The 25,620-nt window shown below is 39.6% G+C and overlaps 1 protein-coding gene and 1 long non-coding RNA gene across 3 annotated transcripts in view; one reads left to right on the top strand and one right to left on the bottom strand.

Annotated features, from left to right (window-relative positions):
- Positions 1–25,620, bottom strand: part of VCL (vinculin) — a 123,248-nt gene that overhangs the window by 43,506 nt on the left and 54,122 nt on the right. For both annotated transcript variants that reach the window (NM_003373.4, NM_014000.3), the window contains exons 3-6: positions 7,038–7,188; positions 6,775–6,883; positions 5,006–5,128; positions 2,955–3,115 (exon numbers count right to left, since the gene is read on the bottom strand). In NM_003373.4, coding sequence (NP_003364.1) covers positions 2,955–3,115; positions 5,006–5,128; positions 6,775–6,883; positions 7,038–7,188 — 544 coding nt within the window. The remainder of the gene's footprint in view (positions 1–2,954; positions 3,116–5,005; positions 5,129–6,774; positions 6,884–7,037; positions 7,189–25,620) is intronic.
- LOC124902458 (uncharacterized) lies at positions 5,080–6,108 on the top strand. Its single transcript, XR_007062200.1, has 2 exons — positions 5,080–5,156; positions 5,794–6,108. It is a non-coding gene; the product is annotated as an uncharacterized LOC124902458 (long non-coding RNA).

Here is a 25,620-nt window from a genome sequence, read left to right as displayed (position 1 = left end):
CAATTTGAATATAGGTATAAAAGGTAAAATAATCAGTTATTGCATTGCCTCTTTAAAATCTTAACTTATTCGGCAAGACGCACTTTTACCAAGAATTTTTTCCACTTACTTTCTTCCCCCACTTTTCTAGAGGAATCATCACTTTCCAGAAGAATACTGCACCAATGGGGAGGCATGAAACAAGTATGGTAAGACAAAGTTAATTATTTATTGGTAGGGGCGAGAAGAGGTGAAAGACACTGTATGCATTAAACAGAATGGGAACCCAGCAGTCACAGTCAGACAAAAGGTCTGATTAATTCACTGCTTACAGTGGAGCAATGAAAGATGCGTAATGCTACAAAACTGAAAAAGAGCCAAAATCCTAGCTACCAATTTCTATTTTCAGGGTAAAATTTTTTTCTATTTTGATAACCAATAGAAATGATTACTCTTAGAGGGTGAGGAGCGGTAGAGTGGATGGGAACCAGGTTAGGAGGAAGACTTATCAGGTATATCTTTTTGCAGCACTTTGATATTTGAACCACATAAATGTAAAACAAAAGCAAAATTAGGTTAAAAATAAACCTCTTTTTTTATTCTGATGTCATTAGGTTAAAAAATAAGCATCTCTTTTTCATTCTTATGGTCAGTAGATTAAAACATAAACATCTCTTGTTCATTCTGATGTCATCGTGTACTTGAGTTGAGCTAATTTAATTTACCTTCTTTCATTTCAGATGAAGTTAGTTTTGTAGCATCCTAACAAATTGGTTTTCCTCAGCATAAAACTGGGAGCAGCTACAAGACTGTACACGGTGAGTACCAGGTCTATTTCACTTGTATCCCCAAGTGCCTAATCCTAGCCCTGAAAACTCAACTGACTACATTTTTTTAATGAGAGAAGCAGCTCTTGATGGCACTTGCACAAAATAAAGTTCAATAACATTTATTCACTAAATGATGGATAGCTTTTCCCTTCTGAAAATAGAGAAACATTAAGGTTAAAATGCCTGTTCCTCCTTATTACTTTTTGTCATCTGCTAGAAGCAAAAGAAAGAGAATAAGCGAAGAGCTTGGGTTAGGGGAACATGAGGTCATGGAGAACTACAGCTAATTCAGTTTGGACAGCAAAACATGCAGTGAGCCACAGAATGAAGTTAGGAAGACCTTTAGACACACTTCACTTCTGTTTTCCTTTGGATTTTGAAGGCTAGGATTATTATGAAGGACAGGTGCCTCATCTAAGCTCTCTAGCCTACCCTCTTTCATTATGGCTTAAAACCTCAATGATGCATCTCCAAAAGCAAAATTTCAGAGCCCGCAAAGAAGACTGGTGGGAGAGGCAGGTACAGAGATAGCATCAGCTGGAAGTCTCCTTTCCCAACAGCAGGGTCCACAGGTAACTCAGGGGTCTCCCAGCTACCTGGGGAATCCTGCTCCTCAAATGAAGTCAATGGGAAAGACCAGGCCAAAAAAGATCCCAGGAGCCTACCCAAAGAACTGAAGGCACCCACCAAATATAGGCAGCCTGATAGCCCACAGTAATGTCTTTCCTTTAGCTTTTCCCAAAGAAATCACTCAATATGAGCCACAGTCAGTCTCCCCAGCACTGCCTAGAGTCCCGTATTAAATCACATTCTGACGCACATTCAAGCACAGTGTTATACACAGAATAAGGCACGGCACACAGCACAAAAAAACCTCACAGACATGCTTTTCTCTTTTTAAGCGAAAAAGAAACTAGAGGGCAAGAGAAAGCTTACCTTCTAAACGTGAGAAAAAGAATAAAACAAAAGAACAAAAAAAGATGCATAAAGAAGTCATAACAGGGAAGTGAAAGTTGTCAACTATGCAAAAGCAAAATTAAATAAAATATCAGAGTTAAAAAGATTTTACCATATAGATTTAAAATACAGTCTTAGAATCTATTCAAGAACTTCACATCAATGAGAAAATGTCTCTGTAAATAAATCCATAGTTAAAATAAGCTAACTTACTCTATATAATTAAATTAGCTTTCAGGGCAACAAGAGAGAGGGCTGGTGATTTCAGGCCCCAGCTTTTACATTACCTTACAGATCCCGGAGAACATACCGTTCTACTGAGCACCCAATGGAAGTCATACAACAAAATCCCTTCTTTAGTTGACTACCAGCCTTCTGGCTGGCCCTGGAGACATTGGGGTCACACATGGGAAAGCTAGATCTTGGGGACAGTGTGTTCCCCCCACTGCCTACATCTTGGGCTCCTACAAGGAAAGTATGAACCCAAGTATCTCTGTTCCCCCAGACCTGAAAGCTTGGTTCACAGTCATTAAACAGGGAGCAGCAGACCAGAGCAGCAGCAACACAAAACCACTGCTAACAGGCTCTAGAAGGAATCTGCCAGCCCCTCTGGGGTCCTAAAAGAGATTCCAGAAAAAGGGTGAAGGGATCCCTCAAACTAACTGACCAATGTGAAGACTAATATTTTAATTAAACCTTCCTTGGGGAAAATGGAATGATCAAGGGACACATCTAGAAATGCCAAGAGTTTCCTCTGTAGATTTCTCTGGATCAAAGATTGGTTAAAGAAAAGTTTTCCATAAAGTTCAGAATTACAGGCATATCTGTATCTTACTTAGTCAGCTGGGAAGAACCACCCATATACAAGGCAGAGCTCCCATCCACGGGAATATACTCTTCCACCAGTCCAACCAATAAGACTCCAGCCTGATGGAAAAGCTATAAATCTCAGCCTTAAACCAGTATCTACCCCACATGCCTATTTACTTGTTCTACCTTAGAACAAAGGAAATTAGCAAAGATAGCAAGTAACCTATGAAACAGAAATGAAGAAGAAATTACTTTCACAATATCTGAGTACTCTTATGCTACAAAAATTACAAGATAAAGTATGAGACAGGTGCCAATCAAAACCCCCAGCCAGGGAGAGTTGGGGATTTTGCTTATTTCTCCACTAAGAACACGTACCTTGCTGGCCCAGGCATCTTCATCCCAAGAGGTGAGTTGTAACACACGAATTATCTCATTAATTTCAGCACTCATTTTTTCTACAGTAAAATTGCGATTTTTTAAAGCTTCCTCTATGCCTTGGTTTTTTGAGTTTTTAGTTGTTACAAAAATCTTCATAGCTGTAAAAATAAAAGATCAGAAAGTAAGCTTGGAATTTAATCTTGTTGTATAACAATATTCACAAAAGATGTTCTACACTTTAGATGTTTTGGGCTTTTAAGATCCTAAAATGAGTATACAAAACAAACACTACAAGTTTGACAATAAAGTTCCAACATTAACAACCTTTATTGTAAAAATAAAAAAAGAAAAAGAAAACTCAAGGTACAAAGACACCATCACAACATGATTAAGTAACTAATTTAACCTGCATATGCTGATGACCTGCAATCACAAAATATCTAATATCCTTCTAAATCAGTTATCATCCTGGCCCTCACCCTGGCTCCATCTACTACAAACCTAATGGGACAATATGAAAACTGTCAGTAATACTCTGAATGGCGTATCCTGCTGCCCCTGATCCCAGCAGAAGATCCCAAGATGTCAAGTTTATCATCCGAGATTTCTCTCAACATGTAGCTTGGATTTGCCAACCCCCAAACATAAAGAAGAAAAAAATAATGTCTGGGCATGGTGGCTCACGCCTGTAATCCCAACACTTTCGGCGTGATCTCGGCTCACTGCAACCTCCGCCTCCTGGGTTTGAGCAATTCTCCTGCCTCAACCTCCTGAGTAGCTGGGATTATAGCCGTCTGCCACCAATCCTGGCTAATTTTTGTTTTGTTTTGTTTTTAGTAGAGACGGGGTTTTGCCATGTTGGCCAGGCTGGTCTCGAACTCCTGACCTCAGGTGATCCACCCACCTCGGCCTCCCAAAGTGCTGGGATTACAGGAGTGAGCCACTGTGCCCAGCCTCCTGAACTCTTATACTCATATGTCCTTTTTTAGCTACTACTTGAAACACCAAAGCAGGTAGCTGGAAGTCACAATGACATGAGTCACCAGATTTTTATAATAAAGTTGCCTTCTGAGAAATAACTAATTAACCCACAACTTGACTAAGATAATTCATATAAACCATGAGCTGTCTGGCATATACTAGACACTCAATAAGTGCTACTCCCTTTTGCTAGTCGAGAGAGCAGCTACCATGTTTGCATTTCAGAGCACTACTCAATGGGAAGGTAGTCCCAGCTGGTGACTAAAGAACTGATCTACTCATGATGTAAACAACAGTTAAATATCTTTTAGGAAAAATTGGATTAATACACACTAAAAAGGGCTCTGAGTTCATGTCTTTATCATATGATGCTCTATAATATCCATTCCAGCTCCTAATTATTTTTCTATAACACAAAGGTGTGAAAATTTAATATCCTAGGCTAGAGTTTATAGAGGAGAGTCCACCTCCCAGCAAAGGGGCTTGTTAGAGCTTTAGGAGAACAGAATTAGGCCACAGAAAGGCAATTTCAAACAAAGAACAGGAGAAGGACAGCATTAGAGAAGAAGACTGGTTCTCAGCCAATCAGCTACAGCCATCATGTGATAACCAATCAATCGGGTCTCATTTTTACCTAGGCTGAAGGACATGCAGTGAAGCCACAAAAGAAAATGAACCTCAGGCCAGGAGCCATGGCTCACGCATGTAATCCCAGCACTCTGGGAGGCTGAGGCAGGCAGATCACGAGGTCAAGAGATCAAGACCATCCTGGCCCACATGGTGAAACCCCGTCTCTACTGAAAATACAAAAATTAGCTGGGCATGGCAGTGCGCACCTGTAGTGCCTGCTACTCAGAAGGCTGAGGCAGGAGAATCGCTTGAACCCAGGAGGCAGAGGTTGCAGTGAGCCGAGATCGCACCACTGCACTCCAGCCTGGCAACAGAGTGAGACTTCATCTCAAAAAAAAAAAAAAGAAAAGAAAACAAAAGAAAACAAAATGAACCTCAGAGTTTAGAACATGCTAACATTTTTCCCCCCTATAAAATAAAGTACAGGCAGGAAGTACCTGAAATGAGAACTGGCAGCAACTCTTTCACGGTGTTCATCGAGTTCACCAACATCACTCGGTGCTCCTGGTGAGTGAGCTCCTGCTGTCTCTCGTCAATCATCTTGGCCATCTTAGTCATTCCTGGGGCACAAAGAAGAAATTGTGCAGGGTGAGTAGTGAAACAATCCCGGGTCTGGCTTTCTCAGTCTAAATCCATTATGAAATACTATGAAAGTTCAAACCGATTGCTCACTTATTTAAACAACAGACACCATCACTGAACTCTAATTTATGCAACATTACTCTTTTCAATGAAAGTAATGTATTAAATGTAAACACTAAATGTGATAAACATTTTCATATTTTGATATAAATATATTCACAAATATTAAACATCTAAATGAATAAATATATATTTATTAAAAAGAAATTCACAGGTAAGGGAAAAACATTTTGCCAGGCTTCTATGCATACAGGTTTCATGCCATGTCTCTGAACTCTGTGCTAAAAATCTCACATGAGCCTAGTACTGAATCTAGTGGCTGAAAAAAGTTCTAAGAATAACAATGATATGTTTTGTTTTCATATTTCTATTTGTCTGTACTTTCCAATTTGTCCAAAATAAGCATGTACTAGTTTTATAATTAGAAACAAATAGAAATATTATAAAAATAATTATAGGGATGACAGTGTTTGAAAGCATCTGGTGTTTTGGAATCACTCTGCTAGCACTTTTTGTTTATGTTGGTTGTTATTCAAAGGCGCTATGTGATTCTCTAAAGCTTTGATTTTCAAATTACTCCTAGGATTTCTCAAGTTGTCTCACAGACCATCAAGACCAAAGAGAAGCAGAGGTGGGGCTGCTCCTGCTTCACCTAAAGTAGCTCCATTTTGTCTTTTTTTGTTTGGGGATTCTGCATAAGATTCCATTTGGGGAAATATAATTTTCGCCAGTATTATGAGAAATTTTAAGAGGACTACTCTAAAGCCACCAGAGAAACCTATTTCCAGGTGATCTTCAGTGATGGCTCAAATTCTTAACTGCCATTAAGTTTTACAGAACACCTACACTGGAACCTCATAAAAATGCTGTTAATTAAAAATCAACATTTCACATAAAACAAATGAATTTTATAAAGTGATAACAATCAAGTTAAGCAGGTTAAACATCTAACATATCTTGTCATTGGTCTCATTCATACTTTAAAGACCCTCAAGTTCATGTTATATGTCTGTAACATCAAAAGCTGGTATCCGTTTATATATTTTGAATATTTAATGCTCAGATGCCTGAATAATCATTTCAAAATAAGATTTAACCACAATAGCTCTTCTCTCCTAGGTCTGATTATATTATGCAGCCTTGGGTGAGGGCATGAATCCATAATAGTAGGCAGGCTAATTAGCAAGCTAAGAGGTCATAAAGAACTACAGGCCAGCTGGCAGACAGTGAAGGAATGCTGTGTAATGTGGAATGGAGAGGTCAGGATGCAGGATGGCCTTCAGCATTACAGTAACAGAAAAGTATTTCCTACATTCTCCAATAGCAGTATTTGCAATGTTTGGTTTAATTCATTTGACAAGGCAATATATAGAAAGCAGATTCAGATACCAGAGATAATGACATCACCTCAAAGCACAGCATCATCTCCATCAACAGAGCAGACACCTGAAAGCCCAATGCATCTTCACCTATCTTCTGCAAAAAGTAGGAAGAGGGTACCCTTTCCTTTGGCTCCAACATGGACAATCCTTAAAAAATGTTATAGAAATTGGATAAAACTAACCTGGCCCAAGATTCTTTGTGTAAGTGACCAAATCTTCCATAGTCTCCACCACCTCTGCCACTGTAAGATATTCCAAAATTCCTTTGCAAACTCTAATAATTTTACGGACCTGAAAAAATATTTCAGAGTATTCAATCACATGGGTGGACAACTAGCAAACACGGTAACACAGATGTGCAGCATTCAACATATTTTCATTCTAAACAATCATCAATCTTCCATTATTATCTTCAAGAGTAGGCTTTTTGTCTCAGATTGCCTACCTCAGCCTCATCGAAGGTAAGGAGCAGGTCTGATGTTCCAGAGAGGATGCCCCTTGACCCATCAATTAGATAATCTCGAGCAGGCACTGAGTAAGGGTCTGACTGAAGCATCTGAGCTGCCTGGACAAGCTTGGTGCAAGCATTCTCAACCCTATAGGGAAGAACACAGGTTAACACACCGGCAGAACCACACAGAAGAATACCATATGCAAATACAAAGAGAGAATATGCATGTAAATTCACAGTTTTTTTCCCTACATGAAAAATAGCCAAGACCAATTGATAATAGAACCTACGTTTTTAGATTTTACAATTTAGGCAGGACACAGTGGCTCATGCCTGTAATCCCAGCATTTTGAGAGACCCTGTTTCAAAAAGAAAATTACAAAATTACAGGTAAAAGCAGCACATTCATTCAGTGCACTGCCCTTATTCTTTATTTCCTGACAACAAAAAATGACGAGAAAACATCTGGGCTCTTTGACTTCAGGTTGCTCTATCTCTGCAATGCCTTTGTTTCCTTATTCCTCCCCACCCTATACACACTGCTATTAAAAGACACTGCACAAAGAACTGAAATCCTTCAGTTCTTTGCTGAAATGTTAGATCATTTTCAGATCTAACATCTGGAAATAAAATGCCAAAGCATGGTGTTAAGTGAAATTTAATAACTAAACAAAGCAAAGGAATAGGAAGAAACACAAAGAAAAAGTATGAGGCAATGCATAAATTTCTCACTCATTCATCTAGCTAAATAAATTTGTTTGATAAATCCATTGGACCATTTGAAAATATATTGTTAAAAGAAAATAAAAACAAAAATTTAAAAATTAAAATGAAAATATATTGTTAATTAAAGGTCACTATTATTAGTAACTAAGCCAGTTATTAATAGTTTAATATTAATATAAGTAACCAGATCAGCCAAAGGTTGAGTGGTGGAAGGGGAGCTGGGCGGGGGATTCATTTAAAAGAGGAACCCAAAATGCATACACCAAGTATTCAGTTTGCCTTCCTTGTACTAATAAAATGTATTCATTCATTCATTCAATTACTCATCCCCACAGAGTTGAAAATAACCTAATAGATCATCTCCTCTAGTCTCATATTCAATATAGCCATTATGTTGTGACTGACTAACTTACAAAGATAAGGAACAAACTGCTTAAAGTTAAAATGCTTAGCCAGAATTATACAGTCTCATTTGAAAACATAGAAAATGTCACCTGCAAATAAAAGCCTATCTCACCAGGTTCTTTTGAGGATAAATGAAGTAATACAGAAACTCCACAAGTTTAAAGCAGTATTACATTGTTAACAAGTAGAATTAAACCAACTTATGAATTTCAACTACATAAAAAGCACTGGGCTGTGGACACTGTAGGTATGTATATAAAGATGTAAAAAGCACTATTCTAACTCTCGAGGAGCATACTTTACTAAGGCAAGACACAAACATTGGCAGAATAAGCCAATACATGGCCGGGCGCAGTTGGCTCATGCCTGTAATCCCAGCACTTTGAGAGGCCAAGGTGGGCAGATCACTTGAGGTTGGGAGTTCGAGACCAGCCTGGCCAACATAGTGAAAGCCCGTCTCTACTAAAAATACAAAAATTAGCCAGGCATAGTGGTGGACATCTGTAATCCCAGCTACTCAGAGGCAGGAGAATCAGAGGTGGAGGTTGCAGTGAGCCGAGATCATGCCACTGCACTCCAGCCTGGGTGACAGAGTTAGACTCTGTCTCCAAAACAAACGAACAAACAAACAAAAAAAAAAACATAAGGCAGTATATAATAAATATCAGTGAAGGGCAAGACCTGTTTGATGTGGCTTTTGATCAGGCTTAAAGGACTGGATATTTTGTTCTTTTTAATTTTATTTTAAATATATAATATATATTCATACATATTACACAAGCATATACACATATTTAAAACCAAAAGGGCATACAATGAGAAATCTCTTTCCCTTCACTATCTTCCATGCACTCATTCCATCCCACTTGCAACCAATACTGAGTTTCCTCCAATGTTGTATTTCCTCTGTATGTAAATGTCTTCATAAAACATTTCAGGCCTCAAAGAAGCAAAAATGTACATTTCCCCACTTTTTTACACAAATAGGATCATATATGGTCACTCGCTGCATTCTGCTTTTTACATTTATGTGTTGTTCTATTAAAAGTACATAAAGAGGGCCGCGCATGGTGGCTCACACGTGTAATCCCAGCACTTTGGGAGGCCAAGGCAGGTGGATTACTTTAGGTCAGGATTTCGAGATCAGCCTGGCCAACATGGTGAAACTCTATCTCTACCAAAAGTACAAAAATTAGCCAGGCATGGTGGCAGGGGCCTGTAATCCCAGCTACTGGGGAGGCTGAGGCAGGAGAATCACTTGAACCCAGGAAGCGGAGGTTGCAGTGAGCCGAGATCATGCCACTGCACTCCAGCCTGGGCAACAGAGCAAGACTCCAAAAAAAGAAAAAAGAAAAGAAGAAGAAGAAAAAAAGAAAGAAAAGTACATAAAGAGCCTCCTCCTACTTTTATAAAGCTACATAATAGCCCAGGCTAATAGTTATTAGCCTGCTGTGATGAATCACCTTGAATACATGTAATTTTACCCTGTATGTCTGTAGGATACATTCTAGATATAAAATTGCTGAGTCAAAGGTATGCATATGTATAATTTTTAACAAATGTTGCCATATTGCAATCTGCAGAAGTTATACTAAACAGTTCTTACCTTCTCACCAATTCAAATTTTGGATCTTCACCAATAATAAACCAAAATTGGATCCAAACATAGTTTCTTTTCAATTGAGGTGAAATTCATGTAACATACAAATAACCATTTCAAAGTGTACAATTCAGTAGCATTTAGTGTATTCACAGTGTTGTGCAACCACTGCCTCTCTCTAGTGCCAAAACTCTTCATTATCTCAGTAAAACACGCAATACTCATTAAGTAATAACTCCCTATTTTCTCCTTCCCCCGTCCCCTGATAACCGCTAATCTGCTTTCTGTCTCACTGGATTTGCCTATTGTGGAAACATCATACAAAAGAATTCATACACTACGTCTGGCTCCTTTCATTTAGCATGTTTTTGAGGTTCATCCAAGTTGTAGCCTGTATCAATACTTCATTCTTTTTTTATGGCTGAATAATAATATTCCATTGTATGGATATGCCACAGTTTGTTTACCCATTAATCTACTTATGAACATTTGAGCTGTCTACACCTTTTAGCAATTATGAATAATGCTGCTATAATGTTCTCATTTCTCTTAGTTATATACCTAGGGGAGGAATTGCTAGTTTATATAGTAATTCCATGTTTGATTTTTTGAGAAACCACAAAACTATTTTCCAGCACTGTGCCATTTCACATAAGGGCTCCTAATTCTCCATATCCTCACCAATGCTTATCTTTTTTTTTTTTTAAATAAAAGCCACCCTAGCAGGTGTGAAGTGGTATCTCATTATGGCTTTGATTTGCAATTCCTTAATGATCAATGATGGTGAACATCTTTTCATGTGCTTGTTGTCCATTTCTACATCTTTTATGGAGAAATGTCTATTCAATTAGGCCCATTTTTCAATTAGGTTGTCTTTTGGGGCTGAGTTGTAAGAGTTTCTTAGATAAGCTAGTTATTAAACTCTCATCAGAAATACAATTTGCAAATGTTTTTTTCCCAGTCTGTAGGTTATCTTTATTCAATATAGTGTTAATTTCCATTGAGGTTGAGGATTTTCATAGTTTTTAAGTTACAAAATAAAATAACACATGTAAAAGATTGTATAAATTTTAATTCAAACAAACACCATCTACCTAAAAGTCAATAATCATTTTATGCCAGGTGCAGTGGCTCATGCCTGTAATCCCAGCACTTTGGGAGGCCAAGGTGGGCGGACTGAGGTCAGGAGTTCGAAACCAGCCTGGCCAACATGGTGAAACCCCGTCTCTACTAAAAATACAAAAATTAGCTGGGCATGGTGGCGGGCACCTGTAATCCCAGCTACACAGGAGGCTGAGGGAGGAGAATCAGTAGAACCCAGGAGGCAGAGGTTACAGTGAGCCAAGATCATGCCACTGCACTCCAGCCTAGGCAATAGAGTGAGATTTAGTCTCAAAAAAAAAAAAAAAATCATTTTATAAAATAGTACCAGGTACTTTAGAACCCCACCTTAACCAAATCCTCCTTCCTATTCTCCAGAGATAATTATTACTCTGAATGTTGTTAATTATTTTCTTGATTTTCTTTATACTTTTACCACCTATATATGTATACATACCTAAGCAATTTTTTGTTGAGTTCTGCCTATATTGGAACTTAAGCGGAATCATACCGTTATGCATGCTTCTGTGACTGTTCTTTTTGTTCAACATTATAATGTTCAGTCCATCATGTTAACAACTGTAGCTACTATGTTGTATTCCCCTGTGAGAATATACCAAAATTGGCCAGGCGTGGTGGCTCACGCCTGTAATCTCAGCACTTTGGGAGGCTGAGGCGGGCAGATCACCTGAGGTCGGGAGTTCAAGACCTGCCTGACCAACATGGAGAAACCCTGTCTGTATTAAAAATACAAAATTTGCTGGGCGTGGTGGCACATGCCTGTAATCCCAGCTACTCGGGAGGCTGAGGCAGGAGAATTACTTGAACCCGGGAGGCGGAGGTTGCGGTGAGCTGAGATCGTGCCATTGCACTCCAGCCTGGGCAACAAAAGCGAAACTCCATCTCAAAAAAAAAAAAAAATATATATATATATACCAAAATTGATTTACCCATTCTACCTCTGCTGGATGTTAGAGGTGTTCTAGGTTCTTGTTTCTGTTATTAGTGTTAATATGAATAATAGTGCTGTGAAAATTTTTATTCTGGCTCCTGGTACACATGAACAGAGTTTAGATTATATATCTAGTAATGGAAATACTAAATTACAGAAAATAAATATATTCAACTTTACCAGGGAATGACAAACTGCTTTCCAAAATGGTTTTATCAATTGAATACTTCTACCAGCAGTATACAGACTTGATCCTCATCGTCTGAACTTTTAATATGCCAATCTGGTCAATGTGAAACGATAAACTATTGTGAATTTAACTTGCTTTTTTTTTCTTTTTTTTTTTTGAGACAGGGTCTCGGTCTGTTGCCCAGGCGGCAGGTGCAGTGGTATAATCATGGCTCACTGCAGCCTCGACCTCCTGGTCACCTCCCACCTCAGCCTCTCAAGTAGCTGGGACTACAGGCACAGACCATCATACCCAGCTAATTATGTTTATTTTTTGTAGCGATGGAGTGTTGCCATGTTGCACAGGCTGGTCGTGAACTTCTGGGCTCAAGCAATTCATCCATGTCAGACTCCTAAAGTGCTGGGGGCCAGGCACAGTGGCTCACACCTGTAAACCCAGCACTCTGGGAGGCCGAGGTAAGTGGATCACTAGAGGTCAGGAGTTGGAGACCAGCCTGGCCATCATGGTGAAACACTGTCTCTACTAAGAATACAAAAATTAGCCAGGCATGGTGACAAGCGCCTGTAATCCCAGCTACTTGGGAGGCTGAGGCAGGAGAATTGCTTGAACCTGGGAGGCGGAGGTTGCATTGAGCCAAGATCACGCCACTGCACTTCAGCCTAAGCGACAGAGTGAGACTCAGTCTGAAAAAAAAAAAAAAAAAGTGCTGGGATTATACATTTGAGCCACTGTGCCCAGCCCTGCATTTTTCTTTTATTAATAAAACTGAGGATTGTTTGTTTGTTTGTTTCACTGTTTACTGGCCCCATGGGTTTTGATAGGTAGTGTTTTTGTCATTCATTTTTAATTGTCACTGTGATTTATTTAACAATGAATTGTTTGGGAATTTTAAAATATACTTCTACGTATAAAGGACTCTTCCTCTTATCTTCTGATCATTGATTTATCATTCAAATGAGTTGTGTAGAAAATGTGGTCTTAAGGCACTAAAATATATTTAGGCTAGCTTCATGGCTTAACATATGATTTATTTTTATAAATTTTCTATGTGTTATTAAAAAGAATGAGTGATCCAAATTTTAGGAAAAATATTTTTCCTAAAAGTGTCTTTTGACACTTAAAAGTGTCTTTGTGGACAGGCACAGTGGCTCATGCCTGTAATCCCAGTACTTTGGAAGCCCAAGGCAGGAGGATCACTTGAGCTTAGGAGTTCCAGACGAGCCTGGGTAACAGAGCAAGATCTCATCTCTACTAAAAATTTTAAAAAGATAGGCAGGCACGGTGGCTCACACCTGTAGTCCTAGCTACTCAGGAGGCTGAGGCAGGAGGAGTGCTTGAGTCCAGGATATCAAGGCTGTAGTGAGCTATGATCATGCCACTGCACTCCAGTGTGGGTGACAGAGCTGGATCCTGTCTCAAAAAAAAAAAAGTGTCTTTTGTATGCTAATAAGATGACTAGTGGCTGGGGGACCCTAGATAGCTTCAAAACGGGAGCTGGTTCCAGAAACATCAAGGCATGGTCAGAGAGTTTCTGAGTTGGTGAACACATCTGGGTGCTGGGAGGTGGTGCACCCAGGCAGCATGAAATCTTCCTCATCATATCTTGCCCTATGCATCTCTTCCATTTGGCTGTTCCTGGGTTGTATCCTTTATAATAAACTGGTAACTATTTGAGTAAAGTATTTCTGTGAGTTATGTGAGCCATTCTAGCGAATTAACAAACCCGAAAGCGGGGAGTTGTAGGAACTCCCAACTTTGTAGTAAAGTCAGACAGAAGTGTGGGTATACCAGGCACCCAATACTTGTGACTGGTATCTGAAGTGAGGATAGTTTTATGGGACTAAGCACTTAAACCTGTGGAGTCTGACACTAACTCTGGATAGTTAGTGTCAGAATTGAATTGCGCTGCTGAATACCAAGTTGGTGTCTGAAGAGTTGGAAGACTGGTTGTTGGTGTGGAAAAAAAAAGCCATACATCTGGTATCAGAAGCGTTGAGTAAAAACATCCCATTATTATATACATCAACACTTATCTACATTTACCAACAAACTGTCCAGTATCTTGGCTCATCATTCCCTCTTGTATTTCAGGCTTACATCTGGGATCAGCGGACTTGTCTGAAGTACATTCTTTAGGATTTCCTCTAGTAAAAGTCTGCTGGTGACAAAATGTATCAGTTTTTGTTTGATAATGTCTGTTTTGTCCTCATTCTTCAAAGACTATTATAGCAGTACAGAATTCTAAGTTGACAGTTATTTTATTAGCAAACTGAGGGCATTATTTCACTGACATGGCAATGGAAGCAGGAGAGAAGGAGGTATGATAATGAAAGCAGAGACTGGAGTAATGTGGGGCTACAAGCCAAGGAAAGCAGGCAGCCTCTAGAAGCTGGAAAAGGTGAAGAAACAGAGTCTTTTCTAGAGTTTCCAGAAAGAATGTGGCCCTGCTGACTCACTTTGGACTTCTGGCTTCCAGAACTGTAAGATAATAAATTTGTGTTGTTTTAAACCACAAAGTTTCTGGTGACTTGTCACAGCAATAAGAGGAAACTCTCATCCAGTCAAAAATTATCAGGTATACAAGAAGGCATGAAAATACCGCCAATAATGAAGAGAAAAGTCAATCATTCAAAACCAACCTCGGGCCTGGTGTCATGGCTCATGCCTGTAATCCCAACACTTTAGGAGGCTGAGGATGAGAGGAGGACTGCTTGAGGCCAGGAGTTCAAGACCAGCCTGGGCAACTCAGGGAGACCCTGTCTTCTTTTTTTTAGACAAAGTCTGGCTGTGTCGCCCAGGCTGGAGTGCAGTGGTGCGATCTCGGCTCAAAGCAACCTCCACCTCTTGGGTTCAAAGGATTCTTGTGCCTCAGCCTCCCAGGTAGCCGGGATTACAAGTGTGTGCTACCACACCACAGCTGGCTAATTTTTATATTTTTAGTAGCGACGGGGTATCATGATGGCCAGGCTGGTCTCGAACTCCTGGCCTCAAGTGATCCACCCGCCTCAGCCTCCCAAAGTGTTGGGATTATAGGTGTAAGCCACTGCACCCGGCCAAGGAAGACCTTGTCTCTACAAAAAATTTAAAAATTAGCCAGGAACAGTGGTAAGTACCTGTGGTCCCAGCTACTCAGGAGGCTAAAGTGGGAGAATCACTTGAGCCCAAGAGGCCAAGGCTGCAGTGAGCCATTATCGCACTACCACATCCCATACTGGGTGACAGAATAAGACCCTATTTCAAAACAAAACCGACCTAGAAATGACAAAGATGACAGAATCAGTATATAAGAACATTAAAATGGTCATAACTGTACTCCACATGTTCAAAAAACAAAAGTAAAGATTGAGCTGGGCACAGTGCCTAATACCATGGTCTGGGAGGCTGAGGCAGAAGGATTGCTTGAGGCCAGGAGTTCAAGGCCAGCCTGGGCAATATAGCAAGACTCCATCTCTACAAAAAAAAAAAAAAAAAAATCAGGCCAGGCATGGTGGCTCACACCTGTAATCCTAGCACTTTGGGAGGCTGAGGCAGGAGGATCTCTTGAGCTCAGGAGTTCAAGACCAGCCTGGGCAGCATGGCAAAACCCCATTTTTACAAAAAATAAAAAATTAGCCATGTGTGGTGGTGCACTCCTATAGTCCCAGCTACTCAGGAGGCTGAGGTGGCTGGATCACCTAAACCCAGGGAAGTTGAGGATGCAGTGAGCCGTGATTGTGCCACTGCACTCCAGCCTGGGCAACAGAGTAAGACCCCATCTCAAAAAATAAAAATAAAAAATGTAATGGCATGGTGTTGTGCGCCTGTAGCCCCAGCTACTCTTGAGGCTGAGGTGGGAGGATCACTTGGGCCCAGGAGGTTGAGGCTGCAGTGGGCCGTGATTGCACTCCATCCTGAGTGACCCAGCAAGATCCTGTCTCAAAAAAAAAAAAAAAAGTAGATTGGTTACCCTAGTTAGATAAATGGAAGATAGAGAAAAAGACCCAAATAGAACAACTAGATACGAAAGATATGTCTGAGATATAAAAATACACTGTGAATTACTAGCAGATTAGATATTGCAGGGGAAAAAATAGTGAAATTGAAGTCATAGCAATAAAGACTATCCAAAATAAAACAGGGTGAAAAAAGATTTTGAAAAACAAATGGCATCAGTGAACTGTGGGACAACTCCAAGCAACCTAATATATGTGTAATTAAAGTTTCCAAAGGAGAGAAGGTAGTGGTAGGGTAATATTTAAAGAAATTGTTTCCAGGAAACTTGAACATTTATGAAATTATAGCCAACAAACAAAAGCATCACCAACTACAAGTCTTGTGATATATCTATTTATGAAATCCAGTTACTGTATAAGTTTTTCAAATTTGGAAAAAAAATGACAAGAATGACCATTATGGAGAAAGGAAACTGAAAAAGATGAAATTGAAAAGGTTTACAGGAATAAAATTGATTATCACTAATGGTTCCCTTGTGTGGTAAAATGATAGGTCCAAAACAGAGACTGAACCATTTTTTTATACAATAAGACATCTGATCTGCACATTAAAATTTAATGGCATTCATAAAAGCCAAACAAATCCCACTAAGACTAACCAGCAGTCAGAAACAGGAAGAAGTCTGTCTTGTGTATGGAAAATTGGATTTTATTTAAACATTCAAGCTCCCTAGCTTCTTAAAGTGATCTTGCACATTTTAATAGAAATCTGAATTTTTAAAAAGTATTTAAAGAATGAAAGTAGGCATAAGGTCAGTTTCCTAAATAATTGTATATCTTAACTATATACTAATAATATTTAATTAGATAATTTAAATCAATCAACTAGTACTTCTCTCTCCCTTTGAATCTTCAACCTAAATTGCTAGAAAAAAAATCTTATGCTATATATCAAATGGACCAATGACAGCCTTATGGGATCTCGAAATATGCTCACTCATGACCCTCTAATACATTCTTCCCAGAATTACCACCTACTCTAATTTGAGACAATTTAGGAGAAGACCTTGAGTATGAGTAATTATTTTGTAAGAAAAAAAGAGCACAAATTCCTCAGTTCCATGTGATTTCAATTATCACTAACCAAGAAGATTAAATGTATGCCAAAGAAGAGGAAAATCCATTTAGAGATTATAAAAAGACTACCACAAGTCTTTTTTCTTCTTTTTCTTTTTCTTTTTTTTTTTTTTTTTGAGACAGAGTCTCATTCTGTTGCCCAGGCTGGAGTGCAGTGGCGCGATCTCAGCTCACAGCAACCTCCGTTCCCTGGGCTCAAGCAATCCTCCTGCCTCAGCCTCCCAAGTAGCTGGAACTACAGGAATGCGCCACTATGCCCAGCTAATTTTTTTTGTATTTTGCGTAGAGATGAGGTTTCATCATATTGCCCAGGCTGGTCTCCAACTCCTGACCTCAAGTGATCCACCCACTTCGGTCTTCCAAAATGCTGGGATTACAGGTGTGAGCCACCACACTCTGCCTGCAAGTCCTTTTTAAGGGTTCTTTTAGACTATATCCAGAAAAAGTGAGTTACTAAATTTTTTTTCTAGACAGTGTCTCGCTCTGTTACCCAGGGTGGAGTGCAGTGGTACCATCACAGCTCACTGTAGCCTCAACCTCCCAGACTCAAGTCATCCTCCCACCTCAGCCTATCAAGTAACTGAGACCAAAGGCACATGCCACCATGCCCAGATAATTTTTTATTTTTTATATTTTTTGTAGAGACAGGGTCTCACTATGTTGCCCACACTGGTCTTGAACTCCTGGGCTCAAGTGATCCTCCCACCTCAGCCTCTTAAGTAGCTGAGACTATAGGTGCACATCACCATGCCCAGCTAATTTTTTATGTTTTGTACAGACAAGGTCTCCCTATGTTGTCCAGACTGGTCTTGAACTCCTGGGCTCAAGTGATCCTCCTGCCTTGCCTCACAAAGTGCCAGAATTACAGGCGTGAGCCACTGTGCCCAGCAGAGTCACTAATCTTAAATTCCTTTAAATTCTTTCATATATTTATTCATCTAATATATTGAGGAACTATTACATGCTATGATTCCTAGAAATGGGAATATTTTTTAAAAGTCCTTACCTAAGAGGAACCTTGGTAGGAGGAGACAAGTACAAATCAGTCTTTAGAAGTATGTCCAGCAGGCTGGACGCGGTGGCTCACACCTGTAATCCCAACACTTTGGGAGGCCAAGGCAGGCAGATCACAAGGTCAGGAATTCGAGACCAATCTGACCAACATGGTGAAACCCCATCTCTACTTAAAAAATACAAAAATTAGCCAAGCGTGGTGGCACATGCCTGTAATCCCAGCTACTCAGGAAGCTGAGACAGGAAAATTGCTTGAACCCAGGAGGTGGAGGTTGCAATGAGCCAAGATGGCACCACTGCACTACAGCCTTCGTGACAGGGCGAGACTCCGTCTCAAAAAAAAAAAAAGTATGGGTGCAAAAGCAGGAGGAGATTTTTTCTTTTCTTTTTTTTTTTTCTTTCGAAGTGGAGTCTTGCTCTGTCACCCAGGCTGGAGTGCAGTGGTGCGATCTCAGCCCACTGCAAACTCTGCCTCTCCCACACTCAAGTGATTCTCAAGCCTTAGCCTCCCAGTAGTTGGGATTATAGGCATGCGCCACCATGCCGAACTAGTTTTTGTATTTTTAATAGAGATGGGGTTTCACCATGTTGGCCAGACTGGTCTCGAACTCCCAACCTCAGGTGATCCCTAAGTGCTGGGATTACAGGTGTGAGCCACCGTGCCTGGCCTGGAGGAGTCATTTTTACCTAAGAGGTTAGGAATGTTGCGATGGAGAAGGTAACTACACTGCTCCTGCCTTGAGAAGTTCAGCACTACTTATAAAGATGATTCTCTTTGCAGCATCTCTTTGAGCTCTTTTTCCAGTAGATCTCTTTCTCTCTCTCTCTCACGCATACGCACGTGCACACGCACACACACACACACACCCTTTCTGTGAGAAATAACATGCACTTGCAATCGGTCTAGTTGGACTAGGGAGGGCAGTCTACCATCACAAAGTGCAGGTAGCTCACTCTAAAGCCAAACAATCTCAATCTACTTCTGTAAAAAGCAGTCATCCTATGTCAGCTCACTGGTTTAGTGGCCGTGGAAAGGAGAGCTTTAGACAAAATAATATAAAGGAAATGGTGTGATTAAGTCTATTTAGACATATGGTCCATAAATTAAAACTGGAAAGCACTTGAAAACATTCACGTTCAACTTTCACTCCCACCAAAAAAAAAAAAAAGTTGGGGAGGAGTGGAAGTAACTCATATCACATTCACTGTTTTAATAAAAACAAAAAAATTAAAACTGATCTTAGACAGTATAGCCTTTTAGGTTATAAATACTGTCAAAAAGATGCATTGTTTGCCTAAGAGTGAAGTACTATGGAACAGAACACTTGAAAATTTTATTTCATGGAGGTCGCAGTTCCTGGAGCACACCCAAGGAAACAGGTGTTTACATACCACGATCCCTGTATTAGAGAGAGAGAGCTTGTTGCAGAGCCCACAAACATATCTGATCAAACAAGGCTACGACGACACTTGGGAGATGGGAAGGAAACAGGTGGAGGGAAGGAAGTGAGAACATGAGAATCTGGTCAGTGAGGTTTTCTCCACCTGGCCACTGCACCCAGCACCTCCCTCACTGTCATCTCCAACCAGTCTGGCCCCAGTATAATTATGTGGCAGGCAAAATCAATTGTCAGGGCTATTCTTCCTCTTTTCTTAGCCCTTGTTGAGATCTTCCCTTCCCTTCCCATCCTGTCAGGGTCTTTCAGACATCAAGAAAGGCATAGATCACTTCCCAGTCTGAGAAGTCCATCATATTTAAAAATGAAGAAATGCCAAAACAGGTTCATAAAAATGGTGGTCTATTTAAGTGCTTACATTTAATATTTTAATTGCATGATCAACTTTTGTCTGGGCTGGAGTGCAGTGGCACGATCACGGCTCACCACAGCCTTGACCTCCTGGGCTCAAGTGATCCTCCTACCTTAGCCTCCCGAGTAACTGGGACTACAGGTGCATGCCACCATGCCCAGGTAATTTTTTGTATTTTTAATAGAGATGGGGTTTTGCCATGTTGCCCAGGCTGGTCTTGAACTCCTGGGCTCAAGCAATCTGGCCACCTCAGCCTCCCAAAGTGCTGGGATTACAACGTGAGCCACCACACCTGGCCATGAACAACATCTTTTAAAACTTCTTTTTTTCCTGTGACTACATACATGGCCTTATTTGAAGATAATATTAAAGTCCAGACCCTTCATAATATAAGGCCTGAGTGAGAAGACAGGGGTTTGGGGTACAGGCAGGCCCTCAAGCTCTCTCTGCCTTCCCGCATATTAAGAACCTACCTTCAGACAAAGATCTAAGTGAAAATGACTGCTAAGGCCCCCCAAATTATCCCTTCATTAGATATTTAAGATTTAAATTGTTAACCTAAGGAATGAACTCCAATATAAAATTTCAGGCATCAGCAACTGAGAGTTCAGCCATTCTAGTATGCTTCAAATAGGAAGTACTGCCTCTATCAATTCACTGGAATTTATATATACATATAATTTTTTTTTAAATAATAAAAATAGAGCCAGGGATGGTGACTCACACCTATAATCCCAGCGCTTTGGGAGGCTGAGGTGGGAGGATTGCTTGAGCCCAGGAGTTTGAGAACAGCCTAGACTACGTAGCGAGACCCTATCTCTACGAAAAATTTTAAAAAATTAGCCATGCATGATGGCATGTACCTGTAGCCCCAGCTATTCAGGAGGCTGAGGGGAGAATTGTTTGATCCCAGAAGTCTGAGGTTACAGTGAGCTAAGATCATGCCACTGTACTCTATCCAGCCTGGGAGACAGAGCAAGACTCCATCTTTAAGAAAATTTTAAATAATAATAATTTAGAAAATAATATATGTGAAGATTTCAAAAGACTCAGGAGATAGGTGAAGAAATTTCTTTTCTATGTTAATATGAAGCATTTGGCACAGATTGTACTTTAAAACAGTAGAGATGGACGCATTCTGTGGCATATCAGTAATAGCTGATATGCTTTGCTCCTGGAGTTGCCATTTTGAGAAAGGTCAAGGATCCTCAGCCATTAGTCACCTAGACACCTGACTGAAGGCCACAAGCATAGTTACAGTTTTTAGGAGGGAGTCAGGAACACAGAGTACAATGACAAGCTTTAATCTAATTCAAGTAGCAAGTATGCAGCACCAACTCACACGGGTGTACACTGTGTGATAATATTAATACATGCTGTTCCAACCCTGTACTCCTACATTTAAAGATCCTACAGACCTCATCCACAAAGTATTCCTTTCCCTGTCCCAACTCTCTTAAAGTACAACATAATGCAAAGTGGACTTCTTGTTCTTATCAAGGCCAAACAGTGATAGTACAGGACACTGCATGAGTACACCCAAAACTAAAAATAAAACCACAAGGATGCAGCTTAAATATATACAATTTCCATTTGTCAATTATATCTCAATAAAGCTAAGGGGAAAACTGAATTTTAAAAAATAACCCACAATGAGTCATATTGAAAACATTCAAAACATTTCAAGGGAAACACCAAACCCTTTGCTAGAGGATGTATACTAGATAACAAAGCCTAAACACACACACACACCCATCATGAGCACACACACACACAAAACCCACAGGCTCACTAAATTCTCTTATTTCAGATTATTGAGATTAGGAGGGTATGCAGCCAGTTTTGACTTCAAATAAAACAGGACTCTGTCCAAGTCAATTGATAACTGAAGGGGAAGCAGCATGTTGGGAAAGAATGGGAGAGGAACAAACGTTACAGCTGCCCAAGCTATATGTTCCTCAAGTCTTGGTAAGTAGTTTATTTTAAAGATGTGTATAAGTCACAATCTTTAAATCCTTTAAAACCTGAATAACCAGTCCTGTTCTTTCTCCCTTCTTCCCTTATTCTCTTGTCAAATCTAGCGTCAGTGCAGATTCTGAGTGTGCAGAGTTCAATCAAGAACTCTGCTACCTCCTGGTCCATCAGCTCCACAGTCCTTCCTCCATCTCATACTAGGGTTGCAGCAGAAATAGACTGAGTATACAAGCAAGAGTGTCTTACAGATACTAGCAGTTTTCAAATGTATGTTGATTCTGTTGTGATGAATAAAATTTTTAAATTATCTTAAAATATTACTAAATTGGCCAGGCGTGGTGGCTAACGCCTATAATCCCAGTATTCTGGGAGGATTGACTGAACCCAGGAGTTCTAGACCCACCTGGACAACATAGTGAGATCCCATCTCTAAAAAAAAAAAAATTTTTTTTTTCTTTTAGTTAGCCAGGTATGGTAGCATGCATGCCTATAGTCCCAGGTACCTGGGAGGCTGAGATGAGAGGATCACCTGAGCCCAGGAGGCTGAGGCTGCAATGAGTTGTGATCACACAACTACATTCCAGCCTAGGTGACATAGCAAGATCCTGTCTCAAAAAATTATATAAAATAAAATAAAATATTATGAAATTCACTGTATCATTTGTTTGTTTGTTTGAAATAGAGTCTCACTTTGTCACTCAGACTAGGGTGCAGTGACATGATCTCCACTCACTGCAATCTCTGCCTCCCAGGTTCAAGCCATTCTCCCACCTCAGCCTCCCAAGTAGCTGGGACTACAGGCACTCCTCACCATGCCCAGCTAATTTCTGTATTTTTAGTAGAGACGGGTTTCCACCATGTTAGCCAGACTGGTCTTGAACTCCTGACCTCAAGTGATCTGCCCACCTTAGCCTCCCAAAAGGCTGGGATTACAGGTGTGAGCCATCGCACCCGGCCTGTATCTTTTTGTTTTTATGCATTTCTTAATCAAGAAATAATTTAAAATCTCACTATTATTATTTTGTTGTTGGTTTTTCTGTTTTTGTTTTTTTTTGAGACATAGTCTTGCTCTGTCACCCAGGCTGAAGTGCAATGGCGTGATCTCAGCTCACTGCAACCTCCACCTCCCAGGCTCAAGCAGTTCTCCTGCCTCAGTCACCCGAGTAGCTGGGCCTACAGGTGTGCAGCATCACGCCCAGCTAATTTTTGTATTTTTGGTAGAGACGGGATTTCACCATGTTGGCTACACTGGTCTTGAACTCCTGGCCTCAAGTAATCCTCCTGCCCTGGCCTCCCGAAGTGCTAGGATTAAAGGCGTGAGCCACCACGCCCAGCCTAAAATTTCACTATTATTACTTAAAGGTCCTTATGCTGAAAAAAAGTAGGCAATCACTGTTCTACAGTAGAATGTAATAAAAGAGTTACAGGCGTGGCAACCTAAACACAAAATGAAGTGATAGATACAATAAGAGGATATTTTTCACTTATGAAGAAAACTGGCAAAAACTAGGATGTAGATTAAAAGAAGAAGAACACAGTCTGGAGAAACAAGCCAACAGCAGGCTAACGTCTATCAACAGTCATTCTAAAAAAAGATAATTAGCAACAAATAATTAACAGAATTCAGAACCCAGAAGAATCACAAACTTGTAACCACCTAACAATATTGCTTTGAAATATGTAGAGCTAACACTGACAATTATAAGAAAAACAGACAGGTCTACAATTAGTATAGGAGATTTTTAACATATATCAATCATAAGCTGATAGTTGAAACAGACAAATTAGGCTATAAAAAATTGGACTAGTAATATTTATATACTGACCTAATTAGTATAAATAGAACTCTATACCCAAGCAAAAGAGAATATACTTTCTTTTCAAGCACACATAAAAACTCACTAGAACTGAGCTGTATGTAACAAAAGAATTTCCAAGAATTGATATCATACCAACCATGTCTTTGGGTACAATACAATTATATTAGAAATATAACAAAAGATATTAAAAAGAATTTTGAAAACTTTAAAAAATAATTTTAAAGAATTTTTAAATTCTCTAATTTAAAAATTAAAGTGGTACATGCCTGTAGTCCCAGCACTTTGGGAGGTGGAGGTGAGTGGATCACCTGAGGTCAGGAGTTCGAGACCAGTCTTACCAACATAGTGAAACCCTGTCTCTACTAAAAATATAAAAATTAGCCAGGCATGGTGGCGGGCACCTGTAATCCCAGCCACTTGGGAGGCTGAGGCAGGAGAATCGCTTGAACCCGGGAGGGAGAGGTTGCAGTGAGCCGAGATCATGTCATTGCACTACAGCCCAGGTGACAAAGCAAGACGCTATCTCAAAAAAGAAAAAAGAAAAGAAAGATTGAACATAAAGACTGAAATATTAAAAATAAGGTATTCAAATAATAAACTTGAGAAAAGTAAATAATAAATATGAGAAAAGAATTTAATGAAATAGATCTTTGTGGGAAAAGCTGGTAAGACAGATAAATCTCTAATAAGAGCGATAAGAAAAAAAGACAAAAGGCAGAAATAAGCAATACTGAATAGGAAATGTGATATAACTAGATACAACAGAGATTTTTAAAAGAATAATTATTATGAATTTTATGCTAATAAATTGGAAGGTTGGATAAAATTGGTAATTTCTTAGAAAAGTATCAGACTACCAAAGTTGACTCACAATGAATTTAGAACCTGATTTAGATAATAAAACAAAACTGAGCGAGTTTCTTTTTAGTCATATCTCTTCCTCCCAAAGACACCACCAGATACAGGGAGTTTTAGATGCAAGTTTTGCCAAACTTTCAAGAGCAGATAATCTTTATCTTACATAACCTGTTTCAAAAACTAGAAAAAGACCTTATTTTATGAAGCTAAAATAACTTTGATACCCAAACTAGAAAAGAACATAAAAAGAAAAGAAAATTACAGATAAAGGTCCCTCATGAGCAAAAATGCAAAATCCTTTTAAAATATTAGCAAATTAAATTCAGCACTATATATATATATATATATATTTTTTTTTTTCATCACAGCCAGGTAGGGTTTATCCTAGAAATGCAAGAATGGTTCATTATCAGCAAATCTATATTCATGTAGTAAACCATAGACTATCTCAACAGAGTAAAGGATAAAAATTGTGTAATCCACTCAACAGATACAGAAAGAAAGGGCATTAAATAAAAACAAGTAATCATGGTCCAATTCAAAAAAAAAAAAGTCTTACTACAGAAGACTACAAATTAGATAAAAAATATCTCTGAGAAAAGCTTAAAAAGTAACTGAAGGGCCAAGCACGGTGGCTCACGCCTGTAATTTCAGCACTTTGGTAGGCCAAGGTGAGCAGATCACCTGCGCTCAGGAGTTTGAGACCACCCTGGGCAAAATGGTGAAACCCCCTCTCTACCAAAATACAAAAAATCAGCTGGGAGTAGTGGTGCACACCTGTAGTCCCAGCTACTTGCGGGGCTGAGGCATGAGAATCGCTTGAGCCCTAGAGGGGGAGGTTGCAGTGAGCTGAGATCACGCTACTGCACTCCAACTTGTGCTACAGAGTGAGACTCCGTCTCAAAAAAAAAAAAAAAAAAAACTAACTGAAGAATTGAATCATTTATTTGGAGAAAATTATTAAGAAACAAAAATTAAGAAGCTATAGAAGAAAAAAAAAGAAGCTATAGAAGGGAGCTAATATGTAATTGAAGTAGGAGTCAGTACTCAATTCCAGAG

The sequence above is a fragment of the Homo sapiens genome, chromosome 10, assembly GCF_000001405.40.
Source record: "Homo sapiens chromosome 10, GRCh38.p14 Primary Assembly".
NCBI classification, from domain to species: Eukaryota; Metazoa; Chordata; class Mammalia; order Primates; family Hominidae; genus Homo; species Homo sapiens.
This window is presented reverse-complemented; position numbering and strand designations above follow the sequence as displayed.